This window comes from Homo sapiens, chromosome 16, assembly GCF_000001405.40.
Source record: "Homo sapiens chromosome 16, GRCh38.p14 Primary Assembly".
Classification (NCBI taxonomy): Eukaryota; Metazoa; Chordata; class Mammalia; order Primates; family Hominidae; genus Homo; species Homo sapiens.
The window spans coordinates 11,051,503-11,066,690 of NC_000016.10; the positions used below are offsets into that span (position 1 = coordinate 11,051,503).

Genomic DNA, 15,188 nt, shown 5'->3' on the forward strand with positions numbered 1-15,188 from the left:
TCTCTTCTAGATGAAGCCCATGAACGTGGAATATCTCATGATGGACGCCTCCATCCTGCTGCCCCCAACAGGCACGCCACTGACGGGCATTGACTTCGTGAAGCGGCTGCCGTGTGGCGATGTGGAGAAGACCCGGCGGGTGAGTGAGCACAGGACCTGTCATCTCCTGGGCCACTGTTCTCCAGAACCACTCCCAGACCAGGGAGGAAAGGGCTTCTTTGTCAAAGTCAAGAGCCTGCCCTCAACACAGCTTAGACAGTGGATAGAGAGTACCCATTTGCCCCCAGGCATGACTTTCCAAGGCATGTTTTTACCCTTTGGGAAGTAGGGTTTGGCATTCCGTTGCATCTGGCACCCAGTGTTGGCTGCAGAGAGGTAGCCTTCACCAGTGCAGACAGACAAGCCCTGAGCTCAGGAGTGTAAGGCAATGGGGCCAGTTTTCTGTGAACCATCGGGGGTGAGCACGGTACATCCAGTGCAGGTGAGGTTGGTGTGAAATCGTAGCCCAGCGGTCTCAGGACCCCCAGAGATAGTGCGATGTTAAGGCATCTACCTGCTCTTGGGACACAGTCAAATTAAATGTGAATCTCACCAGCCTGCAGGACAGATATGTGTGAAAAGATTAGTTCTCAGAACCAGCTGCAGTGTGTGCTTCCGTTATCAGCCCTTTTTTTCCGAAGCAGGTACTCTAGGAAGCAGTGTCCTCAGGGGTGTTCATGGTATTTTATCTCCCGGGTAAGATCAGAGTTTCTTTCTTAGAAAGCACCATCACCTTTTCCTAGAAAATCATTCACTGGAGACATGAGTATTTGTGTATAGTTCAGAGGAATTCATTGCACACAGCTCCCCTTGTCAGCCTTTATCATCTGAGTTAATTCGTGTGTGACAGAGGTGTTTCACTTTTGGATTTTGCAAAACAGGAATGACCTGTCATTTGCACCTCAGACACGAGGAGTCTGAACCTTCCTCCCTGCAGCTGGTGGTTCTACCTCGGAAGCCTGGGGGTGCAGAGGAAGTGGGACCCATGTGTCTTGAGTCAATCCACATTTCCAACTGTCTGACCAAACCCACAAGCCTCACCGCAGGACCCACCCTGTCCGGCCCACTGACGCCTTCCTTCCATGTCCTCCCTGCCAGGCACACGATTCTGTTTGTGGGTGGCAGTGTTTGCACTGGACGTCCTGGCATCAGCTTTCACTGGAGGACTGGTTCTGACAGATGTGTATGTGTTGCTTCATGATGCTGACGTGCTCACCCCCAGCCAGGGCTACAGCATCCTGTGCCAAGAAGGCCCCACCTGGGAGATCCCCCCGCACCCCTGAGCCAGAAGGTCCAGAGGACTGAACGCTGAGCACTGCTGCTCTGGATTCCACTTTGCCTTTTTGTTGTTGTTGTTGTTGTTGTTGTTTTGGAGGCTGCAGTGAGCTGTGATCCATCCTGGAGTGCAGTGTTGCGATCATAGCTCACTGCAGCCTCAAACTCCTGGGCTCCAGCCATCCTCCCACCTCAGCGTCGGTAGCTGGAACTACAGGCACAAGCTACCACACCTAGCTAATTTTTAGATGTTTTATAGAGATGAAGTCTTGCTAAGTTACCCAAGTTAGCCTTGAACTCCTGGCCTCAAGCCATCCTCCTGCCTTGGCCTCCCAAAGTGCTGAAATTACAGACATGTACCACCACACCCAGCCCACACTCTACCTTCTTTTGGTTCACAGTTCATCAGGGTTTTTCTTACCACTTCTATGAACACATAGCCTCTGTTATGAAGTAGATCAATTCAAATCAGTTCTTTATGTGAATTTCCTCATTAAATTCTATAACCATCCTAGGAGATTGGCACTATTATTATCCCCATTTTACAGAGGAAGAATTTTTTTTTTTTTTAGACAGGGTCCTGCTCTGTCACCCAGGTTGGAGTGCAGTGGTGCCATCTTGGCTCACTGCAACACACTCTGCCCCCTGGGGTCAAGCAATCCTCCCACCTCAGCCTCCTGGGTAGCTGGGATTACAGGTGTGTGCCACCACACTCGGCTAATTTTTGTATTTTTTGTAGAAATGGGGTTTTGCCATGTTACCCAGGCTGGTCTTGAACTCCTGGACCCAAGCGATCCGCCCACCTCGGCCTCTCAAAGTGCTAGGATTACAGATGTGAACCACCACGCCCTGTCCACAGGGGAAGAAATTGATGCATGGAGAGGTCTGGTGATTTGCTCAAGGTCACCCAGCTAGTGAGTAGCTGAGCCACAAGTCAGCCCAGGCAATGTGGCCCCCAGAACCTAGACTCTTAGGCATTCTGATCCACTGCTTCCCACACTGCCTTCTTGAGATCTGCTGGCTCTGCTCAGGACACTGGGACAGCAAAAACACAGCCCCAGTCCTGAAGAAATCAGAGCCTTAGAGGTCAAAGTGGGAAGAGACAGTGGCAGGTCATGTGGCTCAGGCCATTATTCAAGCAGCATTAGGTCAGGTCACTAATCCCACCTGGAGCAGGAAGTGGGACAGGCATCAGATAGGGAGGCATAGGCCCAGAGACAGGTGGCACATTCTGGCACCAACACGGCAGTGATTGCAGCTGGAGCCCACAGGAGGATGTGATGAGGCTGGGGGTGCTGGCAGGAGCCAGATCACGGGAGCCTTGGAGCCCCTTGAGAACCTTGGCTGTCACCTCTTAACACAGTTTCATGACCTCATGCCCTGCTGGGCTGGGGCAGATGGTCCTGATCCACAGGCGAGAGATGGGAGAAATGCAGGGGCCAGTTTGTCAGGCATGTGGCAGAAGGGAGGTTGCTTCTTGTCTACTCTGAGCTGCTGTCTCCATCTGTCAAGTAAAATGTGCCTGCCTTTCCAGAGTTATCGTGAGGACTCGGCAGCAAGCCAATGGCAGGTCTCGATGATAGTCTTTTTGCCCCTCACATGTCACAGAGTTGCAGGTTCCCAGGGCTGTGCTGCCCACCTCCCTTGTCCTGGATAGGATGCACAACCCGAGTGGCTGGCTGAAGCACAGATAGAGAATATCTCAGCTTCTCTAGAGTCTCTTTGCCTGTCTGACAAGTTTCCAAAAGCAACTCTCAAGTCCTCCCAGGGTCCCTGGGTAGCAGAATGATATAAAAGAGGCCAGGCTACCTCAAAGCCAAGGCATCCACTTTAGAAAAGCTTCCTTTGTGACTTTAATAATTTCTTTCTGAAGGGTGGCTTTGGCCACTCATCTCACTACGGTTCCTGTTGCAAGGTAGCCATCTAGAATCATCCAGAAGCTTAGCTCTTCAAGCCCACTTCAGAAATCAGAACACACCAATGTGCTTTGAATCTGAGCTAAAGGAAGTTACATGGTTTAGCAAGCAATTGAGGGCTTATGTGGTTCGTTTCAAGTTTTTTGCTTGTATCCAAAGAACATTCCAAGCTACCCCTTTGGATTCAAAGGTTTTCTTTCTTTTTTTTTTTTTTTTTCCACCAAGTAGACTTTTTAAAGGAGGCTGATCCTTTTTAGAAACTCCATCCTTTATTTTCCTTAAGGACTTGTCAAAGAGGTTCAAACAATTCTCCTGGCAAATCATTCCTAAATATTCATAGATTCATCAAAGAGCTGCTAGATTCTTGCTATGTGCCAAATACTGTGTTAGCCTTGGGGGTGAAGAAATGAGTGAGCACACATCCCTGCCTTCTGGACCGCTCTTTTTACCTAGTGAGGTAAAGTTTATTAACAAGTAAGAGAATAGCAGGTTGGGTATCAACTCACAGTCAGAGCTCTGGAGGAAAGAAACAGCATGCCATAGCCAGGGGCTGAGGAGCGCTCCTCCTGCAGATAGAGTGATCGGAAGAGCTTCTCTGCAGAGTTGACATCTGAGCTGAAACCTGGAGCATGAGGAGGAGCCAGGAAGGTTAAAGTGATAAAGGAGGCACTTTCCAAACAGGGAACAGCACACATCCAGTCCCTGAGATGCCACCAAGTGTGGCATGTTCAAGGAGCATAGTTAAGTGAGGGAGGGGCAGGAGCGCAGCTACAGGAGAGGATGGTGGTAGCGCTTTGCAGGCCGTGGGGAGGCATCTCACGATAACGCCGTTTTCCCTCTTGCTTTTTTTTTTTTTTTTTTTTTTTTTTTTTTTGAGACGAGTCTCAGTCTGTCACCCATGCTGGAGTGCAGTGGCATGATCTCGGCTCACTGCAACCTGCTCCTCCTAGGTTCAAGTGATTCTCCTGCCTCAGCCTCTACAGTAGCATGAGCCACCACGTCCAGCTGATTTTTTAATTTTTTTTGTATTTTTAGTAGAGACTGGGTTTCCCCAGTCTGTTGGCCAGGCTGCTCCCAAACTCCTGAACTCAGGTGATCCACCTGCCTCGGCCTCCCATGGTGCTGGGATTACAGGCGTGAGCCACCATGCCCAGCCCTCTCTTGCATTTTAAAAACCACATCACTTATTCTTTCTTTCAACATAGTTGTTGAACATATTCTAGGTGTCAGGCTCTGAGTAAGATGCAAGACAAGAATGATGAGCAAATAATATAAAATAAGACCAAAACAGCAAGGGGTCCACTGAGCCATGCCAGCTGAGAAGGGAAATTCATGTTGAAATGAAGGTCACTGGAGCTGTTGGGGTCCAGTGAGAACATTGGAGCAGAACTTTGGGCTTAGGCTGGATCCATCCCACATGTAGGGGGACCTGAGAGAAGCAGTGAAGAAGGAAAACAGTGGTGTCAGTCAGACCAACCACGGGTCAAATCCCAACTCCAGCTGCATGAGCTTGAGCGAGCCACTCACCCTCCCGGAACCTCAGGTCCCTCGTGGGTCTTGCCTCTCAGCTGTTGCCCAGAGTAGACGAGTGTGGCTGTGAAGTGACAAGCCCAGGGCCTGGCAGACAGTAAGTGCTCAGGAAGCATTGTCTGAACAGAGATGGAGCAGTCTAGTATGTAAGGTGGGAAAGAAATAGGGTCTTTCATGATCTAAATCTACCAAAGCTTAATGCCAGAGAAAAGAGAGTTAGGAATAGGATTTTTTGGTGAATATCAAAATCCAAGTTTAAGCCACTAGCCATCTGTATATAGTCATCTTGGAAGCGGTTATGAAACACCCATATTTGCACGAGGTTTTATTTGTCCCCACATTGTTTCCCTGTTCCTTTGTAAAACCACAAGCAGTTTTTGTGTTTATCACTATTGGCCTTGAGGAAATAGAATATTTTGCTTTATTTTTTCGATGTGTATTATACATTAAAGAAAATACAATAACATCTCATGCAGTTTCAAAAGTAAAGGGAACAGTCTTTCCCATGATTTCATCACCCTAAACAAACAATACTTAGACATCTTTTGTGCTCCTCCTATCTTTGTCTGTAAAAAGAGTGTACTGTGGTCTTGCTTTCATCCCTTCTTTTTCTTTCTTTTCGTCGTAGCACAAGAAGTTTTTCATGTTGTCACAGTTTAAATAAGTCTCATTTCTTATGGCCTCATAAAGGTTCATCTGGCATTTTCTTGCAAGTAGACATTTTCGTTGCTTCCAGTATTACATTATTTTCAACTAAACTATAATGAGCAGCTTCATGAATACAGTGTTTTTCTTTCTTTTGAATTATTTCTTTAGGATAAGTTCCCAGAAGCGGAATTTCTGGTTCAAAGGGTATGAATGTGTTTTTTTCATGACCCTCTGCATATTGCCAAATTGCTTTCCCGATGGGTTGTGCCCACATTAAACTGCTTCGGCCCTCTTTTAAGAATGACTGACTTTCACAGCTACATGGCCTCAGTGGGCTTCTAACTTGAGTGACTGTCGCCTAAACTAGGCAGCTTGCACATGCAGCAAGGAAGCAGGAGGGTGAAAACCGAGCCTTTGTTCCAGGCCAGCTCGTGGGCTCAGCACATCACCGGTGCCATCCCGTTGTACCTGCACGGTGGGTGCCCCATTTCCAGAACACAAGCCTGGGCTTGGGCACGTCACGTGATTACCAAGCCCCAGCTTGAGCCACAGTGTGTCTGACTACAGAGCCACCCACCTTCCCCTGCTCATTGGACTGATTCCCCGGTGACATTGAGTTTGCCAGAATTTGCTTCCAGACTCATTGAAGCAAAGAAACTGGAGCAATCTCTTTATATTTGAGCTTGGTCAGCTGTCATCCTTTTCAAAATCTAACCTGTTCTTCCTGGGTCAGTCCTTCCTGATATTCTATGGAAGAATCTGAAAGAATAATAATTTATTTTTCCTTTTTAATAATACTTTTAAATTTGCGTCTTTATTTAGCAAAGAAAAGCGCTCAATAAAACCCTGGGTCCCAAGCCTTAAATCTTTTGGAGGTCAAGGAGTGTGGTTGGAAGAACACAGAGCTTGGAATCTAGTTATTCACTAACTGACCTTGGGCAGGCTGCCTGTCATTGCTCAGCTTTGGTTTCCCCATCTGTAAAATAGGAACCATGCAGAGTCATTAAAAGCTTAGATGAGACAACCCCGTACAGCTGGCATAGTATGCGGCAGGCCATGGGGAATCAAGAGAGTGCTTATTGTTTTGGGTGTGGTGGGGTGAATTTTATGGCTCTTATGCTCATATTTTAGCTTTCTTTTGTGAATTTACAGAGTTGTGGGGCTGCCCAATGTGCCTACCAGGCCCTTATAACCCCCCTACCCCCATGGGAGCCCAGGTTTTGCCTCGAGTGGAGCTCCCCGCCCTGTGGGAATCGGCCCGCCTCAGATTCATGGACATGGCTTCTCATGTGTCCTTCCTTCTCTTAGGAGTTGGGGCAGGAACCAGGAAAAACATTGAGAGATTTTATTATACAGTCATCCCTCGGTATCCATGGGGAATTGGTTCTAGGGCTCCCCCAAGGATACCAAAATCCACAGATGCTCAAGTCCCTTATATAAACGGCGTAGTGTTTGCATATAACCTATGCACATCCTCCTGTAGACTTTAAATCGTCTCTAGATTACTTATGATACTGAGTACAATGTAAATGCTATGTAAATAGTTTGTTATACTGTATTGATTAGGGAATAATAAGGAAAAAAGTCTGTACAAGTTGAGTACAGATGCAACCCTTTTTTTTTTTAATATTTTTGATCTACAGTTGGTTGAATCCACAGATATGGAACCCATGGATACAGAGAGCTGACTGTATGTGTATTATATTCTATTTTATATTTATGATGATGATTGTTATTATCCATGTGTTGTTTGCAAGGCAAAAGCAGATATTGGCCTATATTGGGAGCCAAATTCTGAACTTTTAAAGTATTTATTGAAAGGTTACAGTTTTTCAGAGTGGTGGGCTGCAGAAAGCCACACGTTTCTGTTTTCTTACCCACCTGCTCTGGTCCTGCATGAGTTATTTGCCTTCAAAACCCCAAGAGGAACAGGCGTTTGGGCACAGAAATGAGCGTCTCCTTGACTTGGACCTGGCTGTGATGGGCCGTTTCCTTTCTTTCTCATCCTCATGGTCATGACTCCTTATTTGAGAGCTCAAGCTGCCAAATATTTCAAGTGACCACCCACGTCTTGGGCTTTCTGTACTTGGACTGCCATGGATGTTTAAGTTTCCTGGTGCACTTGGTTAAGTGACACACATGTCATACATTCCTGAGTTCACACCCAGCTCAGCCACTTAGCAGGTGTGTGAGCTGAAATAACTCTGCCCCTCTCAGCTCTGTTTCTTCCTCCATAAAATCTTCAAGTTACAATAAGGTGCCCACAGTTCCTGCCACCCCGTAAGTGCTTAAAAAATAGAAGTTCTTTTGAATTTTTTAATGGAACTACACTTCTTTTTCTCCCAATTGTTAGAGATGTCTTTATGAAGACTGTACTTTTAAAAACTGTTGACAATCAGATACGAATGCTACCACCACCATCATCATCATTATAACTTAAGAGCTGATCTTTCTCCAGTGCTTTCTGGTTTACAGAGGACTGCACTACCTTAGCATAGGGCCAGGAGATAGGATTGCTCTTCCAGTTCCAACATTAGGAAGTTGCTCCAAGGTCTCCCACTGGTTAGGGCGCAAGGCAGCACTGGGTGTAAGCAGGCTGACCAGCTCCTCATTGCCTGGGGTATGAGGAGGCAGTGTGAGTGCACCTCTTTGCAGACAGTAATTTGGCCCCTTTCTAGTTTTGGGAGGCACACTGCTGTATAGAGGGCACCTCCCCTCACCTAGGTCCAGACTGCAGCCTTCAGAGCCATAAACAAGAAGACCCAAAGGCGCACTGGGATTCGCCTTTGCAGCTCCCTAGTGGTGACAGTGGTTTGTCCCCCCAACCCCACTGTGCTGGCTGCTTTCCCTCCTGCGTTATCTCAGAACCTCCTAGCAGGCATGCGAGCTATCATGCCCATTTTACAGATGAGGAAAAGGAAGCTCACAGAAGTCAGGGGACTTGCCCAGCCTAGTGGAACTGGGAATCTGATGTAGACCTCATGTGTCTGACTCTGGAGCTGTCCCCATGGGGCACTGCACCCTCAGTCAGGCCCAGCAGCTGTGCCTCAGGGAGAGAGGCCTGCAGGTGGCCTTTTCTGTGGACTGCCCCTCTGCTTCCTTGCTCTGGTTGGTGGGCAAGCCTGTCCTGGGGCTGGAGGCTGCTTTCTGCACACACGGCTCCGACTGCTGGGACTCTGCTTTGTTTCTGCTCTCTGAAAGTACCTGGTGGCCACACAATTCTGACCAGACACCACTTCTATGGGCCAGGAATCCCTGTGCTGGTGGATCCACCTGTGCCCCTGGTCTGCTGGCAGGGAAAGCCTGAGGGGCATTCAGGGAACCAAGGTCACTGCCCACCTGCTAGGTGCGAGGTCTCTGCCCCGTCAGCAGCACACCCCCTGTCGTAAGACCAAGGGAGCGGGAGTTGAAGAGACTCACCCAGGGTAGGATTTTCCTCAGGTCTCAGGCCCTGCAGCCCACAGGCATTTCATTTCACCCTCTTCTGTCTGCCCCACCCCCGTATTCAGTAGGTAGTACCTTGAAATGCTTTTGGAGTGATTGGGTTTTCCAGAGCCCATGCTGGTTTGGTTGGGACAGACAGACTCAGGGTCTAGCCCTTGCTGGAAGCATGGCCTGGGCAGGTCACTTCACCTTCTTAGGTCTCAGCTGCCCGGTCTGTGAAATGGGGCTGACTGCTGGGCAGGGATTATTATGAAGGTCACCTGATACTTGGGGACAAGGTCCTGGCAGATGACGGGTGCTCAGTTCAGGTAAAGTAACCCAAACCTGAACCTGTGAATAACTGAAAACAGGCTACTCCCCCTTTGATTTTTTTTTTTCTGTCTTGTTATAAAAGCACGTACCAGAATCAAAACACCCGAAGAGGTGGGCTTTATTGCGTTTCTTTCTTTTTTAATAGAGAGTCATGGTGTCATTTCTGGGTGTGGGGCATCTCACTGAAATGACTCTGCAATCTCACTCTTCTCTGCTCTCTGAACTGTTGGTCCAGGCCATCCGGGTGTTCTTCATGCTGCGTTCCCTGTCACTGCAATTGCGAGGGGAGCCTGAGACACAGTTGCCGCTGACTCGGGAGGAGGACCTGATCAAGACTGATGATGTCCTGGATCTGAGTGAGTTGGCTGCTCTGAGTCACAGCAGGGGGCTGGGGGACATGGGACATGGGACACCACTCTGCTGATTCACACGCCACTGGGAGGGTCAGTGTGCAACCTACATTTTGTACTATTATTGAGCTGTGACCTTGAGCCAGCGGTGTGCATGTCCCATGCAGGTTTTGAAGAAAAGGCCCCTGGGTTCTCTGAGATCAGTTTGAGGGTTCTGCTTTCACACAGCTGGTTCTCTAAAAAGTCTCTGCAGAGCACCTGGAGGCTCAAGCAAGGGTGAACAAACTCCAGGGTTCCTGTCCTCCCTATAAACATAGTGGCATCGGTTTGGTTGGTTTTATATATTAAGCATTTTCTATATGATTCTAATGATAAAAGGGTTCTGCTGCTAAAGAAAGAAACTTGTAAAAAGCAAAACACCAGTGTTTAGGTAAGGATGAAGGCTTTGGAGGCTGGAGAACCACGTGCTCAGCCCATAACCTTGAGCTACTTGTTCCGCTGTGTAGTGCCTCATTGTTCTCATCTGCAGCATGAGGCTCAGCTTTAGAGAAGACAATGGGCATAAAGCCTGACCGTGTTCCTGGAACCCCTCTCGTATTTGTATAGCTTTCTCTTTCCTCCATTTGCTACAGGGCACAGGCACACTAATGAGCAGCATGGTTTTCTGTTTCTTAACGGCATTGTGGTATATTAGGAGTCTTTGGTTATAAGAGACAGAAAACTCACCTTAGACCAGCTTAAGGAAAAGAAAGGGAAATTGGCTGATGTCACTGGGAAGTCCAGGAGTAGGCTACCTTCAGGCATGGCTGGATCCGGGTGCTCAGACACTGTCATCAGGAAGCTGCCTTCCTCCGTCTCCCAACTCTGCTTTCCTCTGTTCATCCTCAGGAGGGCTCTCACCAGGTAGTGGCAAGATGGCCTTCAGCAGCCCCAAGATTTGTTGAGCCAGCTACACAGCCCTGATGGAAAGAGAAGCTTCTCTTTCCCTTTAATTCTCTAAAGTCTGGGGTAGACGTGTTATTGGCCTAGCTTGGGGCACATGACCATCCCTGAACCAGCCAGTGGTCAGAGGAATGTGACTCACTGATTGTCTAAGCTGGGGTCGCATGCCCAGCCTTGGAGCTGGGAGGGAGGGAGGGCCAGTTCCTTTTGAACCCCATCACCTGAGAGAGGGAAGAGGCGACCCTCAAAGGAAAGCCACCAAAGAAGGGATGGTGGCTGGGTGGGCAGAAACAGCACAGGGCCACTCTCTGTAGCACTGTTGTTGCTGTTTTAAATCAGCTTTATTAAGATATAATTTATATACAAAAAAACTCCCCAAGGGTTAGTGTATAATTCAATGAGTTTTGACAAAACTATAGAGTTGTGATCTAGACCCTGCTTTGTATTCCCTTGAACAAATGACAGGACCCCCACAGCCTCCGTTTCGTCTCCTGTAAAACGAGATGGTCTTTCTTAAAATACAGAATTGTTTTCAGGATTGAATGAAATAGAACATGAAATATCACGTGACCAAGCATAGTGCCTACCGTGTAACTGTACTCAGCAAACTGTAGTCAGTATTACAGGAGGTCATGCGTGTGAAGAGCATAGCATGCCGCCTGACACGTAGAGGTTCTCAGTGAATGAGTATTGTGTGTTACCTGGTTGTCTGGTTTCTTTTTCTGGCCTTATTTATGTTTTATCTTTCCCTTTCTTGGAAGAATAAAGCAGCTGTGACGCCTCTCTGCCTGCTGCCCAACTCCTTTGGCCCTTTTGCCCTTGAGAAATGGCCACAGGAATTTCTCTAAGGGTTTAAATTGATCAAGTTGGCTGCAAAGAATCATAAACCAGTCTTTCTCTGATTTGATTCAAGGAGAGAAAGAGCTTGCTTTGGGGGGGTGGGGGAGGGCAGTGGGGAGGGGGCACTTCATCAGGGCAGCAAGAATGTTTGCATCCGTGAAATGGAATTAAATTTTATGCTGGGAATTCACATTCCTTCTCTCCTCCCCCTAGGAATGGCCTGCTGGAATAAAGGTTCAAAGTTTTTCACTTATCAATTTTAATTGATTAGATTGCTAGTTGAGATCACTTAACTGAGCCTTTTTGGGTAGTTGGCCATTAAGAAAGTAATGGCTGTTTGTCTTTGCCCAGCCTGATTGCAAATTATGTCTTTTGCTAAGGAGGGCGACTTTCAGAAAATAGTAGGGATTATGGAAGCACGTGGTACTAGGATAAGATATGCCTGTATTGTTGGTTTATTTGGTTTTTTTCTTCTTTCCTTTTTTTTTTTTTTTTTTTTTTGAGGGAGGGATTGTAAATGCTGGAGCTTCTCCTCACCTTCCATTGTGGGGGAAAATCACCCTAGTGTGCAATCTGACCAAACGCCTTCTGTATACAAAATACAGGTGAAGGACAGGTGAAGCCATTCTTGCTTGCTGCATGACTGGAAGCTGGGCATGTTTTTGTCTCCCTGATGAACTTGAGAAAGCTGACTCCGGGAGAAATGTTAGGGACTGCTCACCATTTACCTGACTCCATGTGGTCTGCTAGGCTTAAAGGAGTGCTGTCTCCAAACAGCAGGAAGAGGTGGCGTAAAGTGTATTCACTGCCCCTTGTCACACTTCAGTAAGAAACAACAGCGTAAAGGATATTCCCCAGAAGCCACCCCAAGTGCTTGCTGACCAGCAGCAGGTCTCTCGGCTGGGTGTGACAGCCGAGCTCCGGCTGTCATAAAAGGTGGCTTCTCATGGGGAGCATTAAAGATGTGGTCACCACTCAGCAAAGAGGCAAACTGGTCATGCTTAAAGTGAAGCCTGTTTTGTTTTTCACTAGAGAGGAGAGTGGCAGAGGGCAGAGGTCAGGAACTGGCAGCCACGTGTGCCACATCTGCTGGAGTGATGGGGGGCTGGGGTGGGAAGGAAGAGAGAGAGGAAGGGAGGGAGGGAAGTGGAAGGAAGTTGAAGGGAAGGAGGGATTGGAGGAAGAAAGGGGAAGGGAGGGAAGGGAAGAGGGGAGGAACTAGATAAAACAGTGGATTTCTAGAGAAAATAGCATCATGAATCTCCATATACCCAGCCCTCAGCTTCAACAGTTTTTACCATTTAGCTAAGTTTTATTTTATCTGCCCTTTCATCTGTCTATTTAAAATACGCCACCCACCCACACAGTGTATTAAAGCAAATGGAAGACATCATATTATTACATCTAGAAATACCTCTCTCTAACAGAGAAGGACTTTGTATTGTTCCTTTTAATGGAATTGATTGCCACCATTTGCAAACCGAGTGCCTCCCCAGCCCCAGCTGCTGCTTTGGAATGGAGGCCAGGGTGCAGGGGCCTGTAGACAGGGCCTGTGCTCACCCATGTGCTGCCGCCCGGGTCTTGTTGACATTTGATTTTGCAGCCACTGGCATCATTGGAGTAATCATCTTTGTAATCTTCCCCAGAGTCTTCATGCCTGTGAGGCTCAGTAGCCTTACCTTTGAAATGGTTCTAGGGCTGGATGTGGTGACTCACACCTGTAATCTCAGCACTTTGGGAGTCTGAAGTGGGAAGATCACTTGAGCTCAGGAGTTCAAGACCAGCCTGAGCAACGTAGTGAGACCTTGTCTCTACTAAAATCCAAAAAAATAGCCGGTTGTGGTGGCAGATACCTGTAGTCCCAGATACTTGAGGGGCTGAGGTGGGAGGATCTCTTGAACCCGGGAAGTTGAGGCTGCAGTGAACCCTGATCATGCCACTGCACTCCAGCCTGGGGGACAGAGTGAGACCCTCTTTCAAAAAAATAAAAACAAAACCAAAACAGGGTTCTAAAAGACTTTCCAAGGAGCTCAAATGAGATCACATGTAAAGCTCACAGCACCATGCTTGGCACTTAGTAGGTGCCCAGTGAGTGGGAGTTGGCTGCTTCCCTGCTGCAGCTGCTGAATACGCAAGCTGAAACTCATCCTGCTGGGCTCCATGGGGCTGGCATTTTCTGCTTAAGCAACACTCTGAGAACAGTGTCCTGAGACATTCAGGTCATTGCTCGGATGATGGCACTGTTTTGAGGGGTAAGAAAGATATAGCTCTGGCTGCTTTGGCCAGAGGAAGGGAGCTGTATCCCGTCTAGGCTGTGAGACTCACTCACTCCAGTGTGCCTCCTGAACAGGGACAAGCAGGCTTTGAGGAGAAACCACAGATTCCTTGGGATTGACCTCAGAGCCTCCTTAAAGGATTCTTGCCTGTTTCCAAATATCATGAGCAACCACAATAGGGGAGAAATCTGTCCATTATCCATACACCCCAAAGAGACACCTGGCAACCAGGTGTGTTCAGTGTCCAGTTTCCTTGCAGCCTGTTCATGTGGGCACCTAACATTCACATAGTTGCAGCCATAGCATGTGCTACATGTATCTAACTTGTATTCTGATTTCTAAAATCAATTCGTGAAGCCCATTCAATGAAGACCCATTCATGCATTCAGCTATTTATTGAGCACCTGCTGTATGCCAGGCACAGTGCTAGGAGCTGAGATGTGAGAGTGAGCAAAAGCCAGACTTCACTTCTGTTCTTGAGGTGTTTCCAGTTGTGGAGGGAGCAACCACTAACAGGTAGGTTAAGTAAATGCATGATCACAGACTGATTGGGATGGCTCCATAGAGGTGATGAGCAGGGTCCATGCTGGAGAATAACCAGGAGGAAAATCCTCATGGGCTGGTTAGGGAAGGCCTCTCTGAAGAGGTGCTGTGCCAGGAGGGACCAGAAGCTTCTACGAGAAAGCACAGAAATGAGGACTGCCTTTTAAGGATGGCAGAGGTGAGGCTGAGGTGGGAGAGAGGGTGCTGTGTCCCAGGGTCCTCACAGAAACTTGGGTGGCTGGCACACAAGTAGCAAGAGTGGGTCAGTGGCTGGGAAGAGCCAGATCTCAACTACAGGGCTTTCTCACAGGGACATCTGTCCCAAACGGACACTTCTAGAGCTGGCACTGCCTGGTCAGACGGTCCCAGAAGGGGCCTTCGAGCTGCACTGGGGGCTAGAAAGGCCTGCAGCAGGGCGGCGAGGAGCATGGACTCAGGGGCCAGACTGTGCCTGGATGGAAGTCCCAGCTTTGCTGCCTTCTGCTTGCCAGCTGTATTACCTTAAGGGAACTGAGTCTCCCGGCACTTCAGTTTCCACAGCTGTGAAATAGGACTTGCTGGGAGGAGTAGATGAGCATTATCTGTGCTGTGCCTAGAACAGTGCCTGACAGAATTGCAGAGAGGCCATTTAGGAGGCTGTGGCAGGGACCAGGGGTCAGTGCTAGTGGGCAAAGAGGGACGGGACAGTCTGGGTACAGCATTTTGTGACAGTTTGCAGTGGCGATGCCAGAGAGCTCGGTTAACTCTGGGGTTCTGAGCTTGGGGCAGTCCAGGGGGCAGGGGCTGGGAGGATGGTGATTCTGTCATCAGCAGGGCTGATCCTGGAGGAGGAGCTGGTTCCAAGCAGAAGGTGCTGAAGTTGGTCGGGCGGCCAGGTGAGACGTGCCATGAGGGAGCTCAGCCAGGATGTCCGGTGGGCGGGGGAGCAGTCCGGAAGCCTCCTCGCTACTTCATAGATTCAGAACTCTTGTGTTTAGTAGCCTGCATGATATTCTGTTGTCTGAGACTTCTGACGTAACCATGGTGCAATTTTGGGTCATTTTTACTCTTGCCTGGCATAACCTAGCTGGCTG

The 15,188-nt window shown here is 48.3% G+C and overlaps 1 protein-coding gene across 40 annotated transcripts in view, besides 1 other annotated feature; it reads left to right on the plus strand.

Annotated features, from left to right (window-relative positions):
• Positions 1-15,188, plus strand: part of CLEC16A (C-type lectin domain containing 16A) — a 237,623-nt gene that overhangs the window by 106,939 nt on the left and 115,496 nt on the right. For 33 of the 40 annotated variants that reach the window (NM_015226.3, XM_005255214.3, XM_005255211.3 and 30 more), the window contains 2 exons: positions 11-139; positions 9,400-9,520. In NM_015226.3, the coding sequence (NP_056041.1) occupies positions 11-139; positions 9,400-9,520 (250 nt within the window). Of the gene's footprint in view, positions 1-10; positions 140-1,137; positions 1,223-9,399; positions 9,521-15,188 lie in introns of those variants that run through there. The other 7 variants (XM_011522434.3, XM_047433847.1, XM_047433850.1 and 4 more) reach the window with 2 other exon arrangements.
• Positions 997-1,146: an enhancer, noted in NCBI's record as "active region_10407". NCBI's record gives its function as "activates an Ori minimal core promoter by ATAC-STARR-seq in GM12878 lymphoblastoid cells {active_cell/tissue: GM12878}" and the evidence as "EXISTENCE:reporter gene assay evidence [ECO:0000049][PMID:35858748]".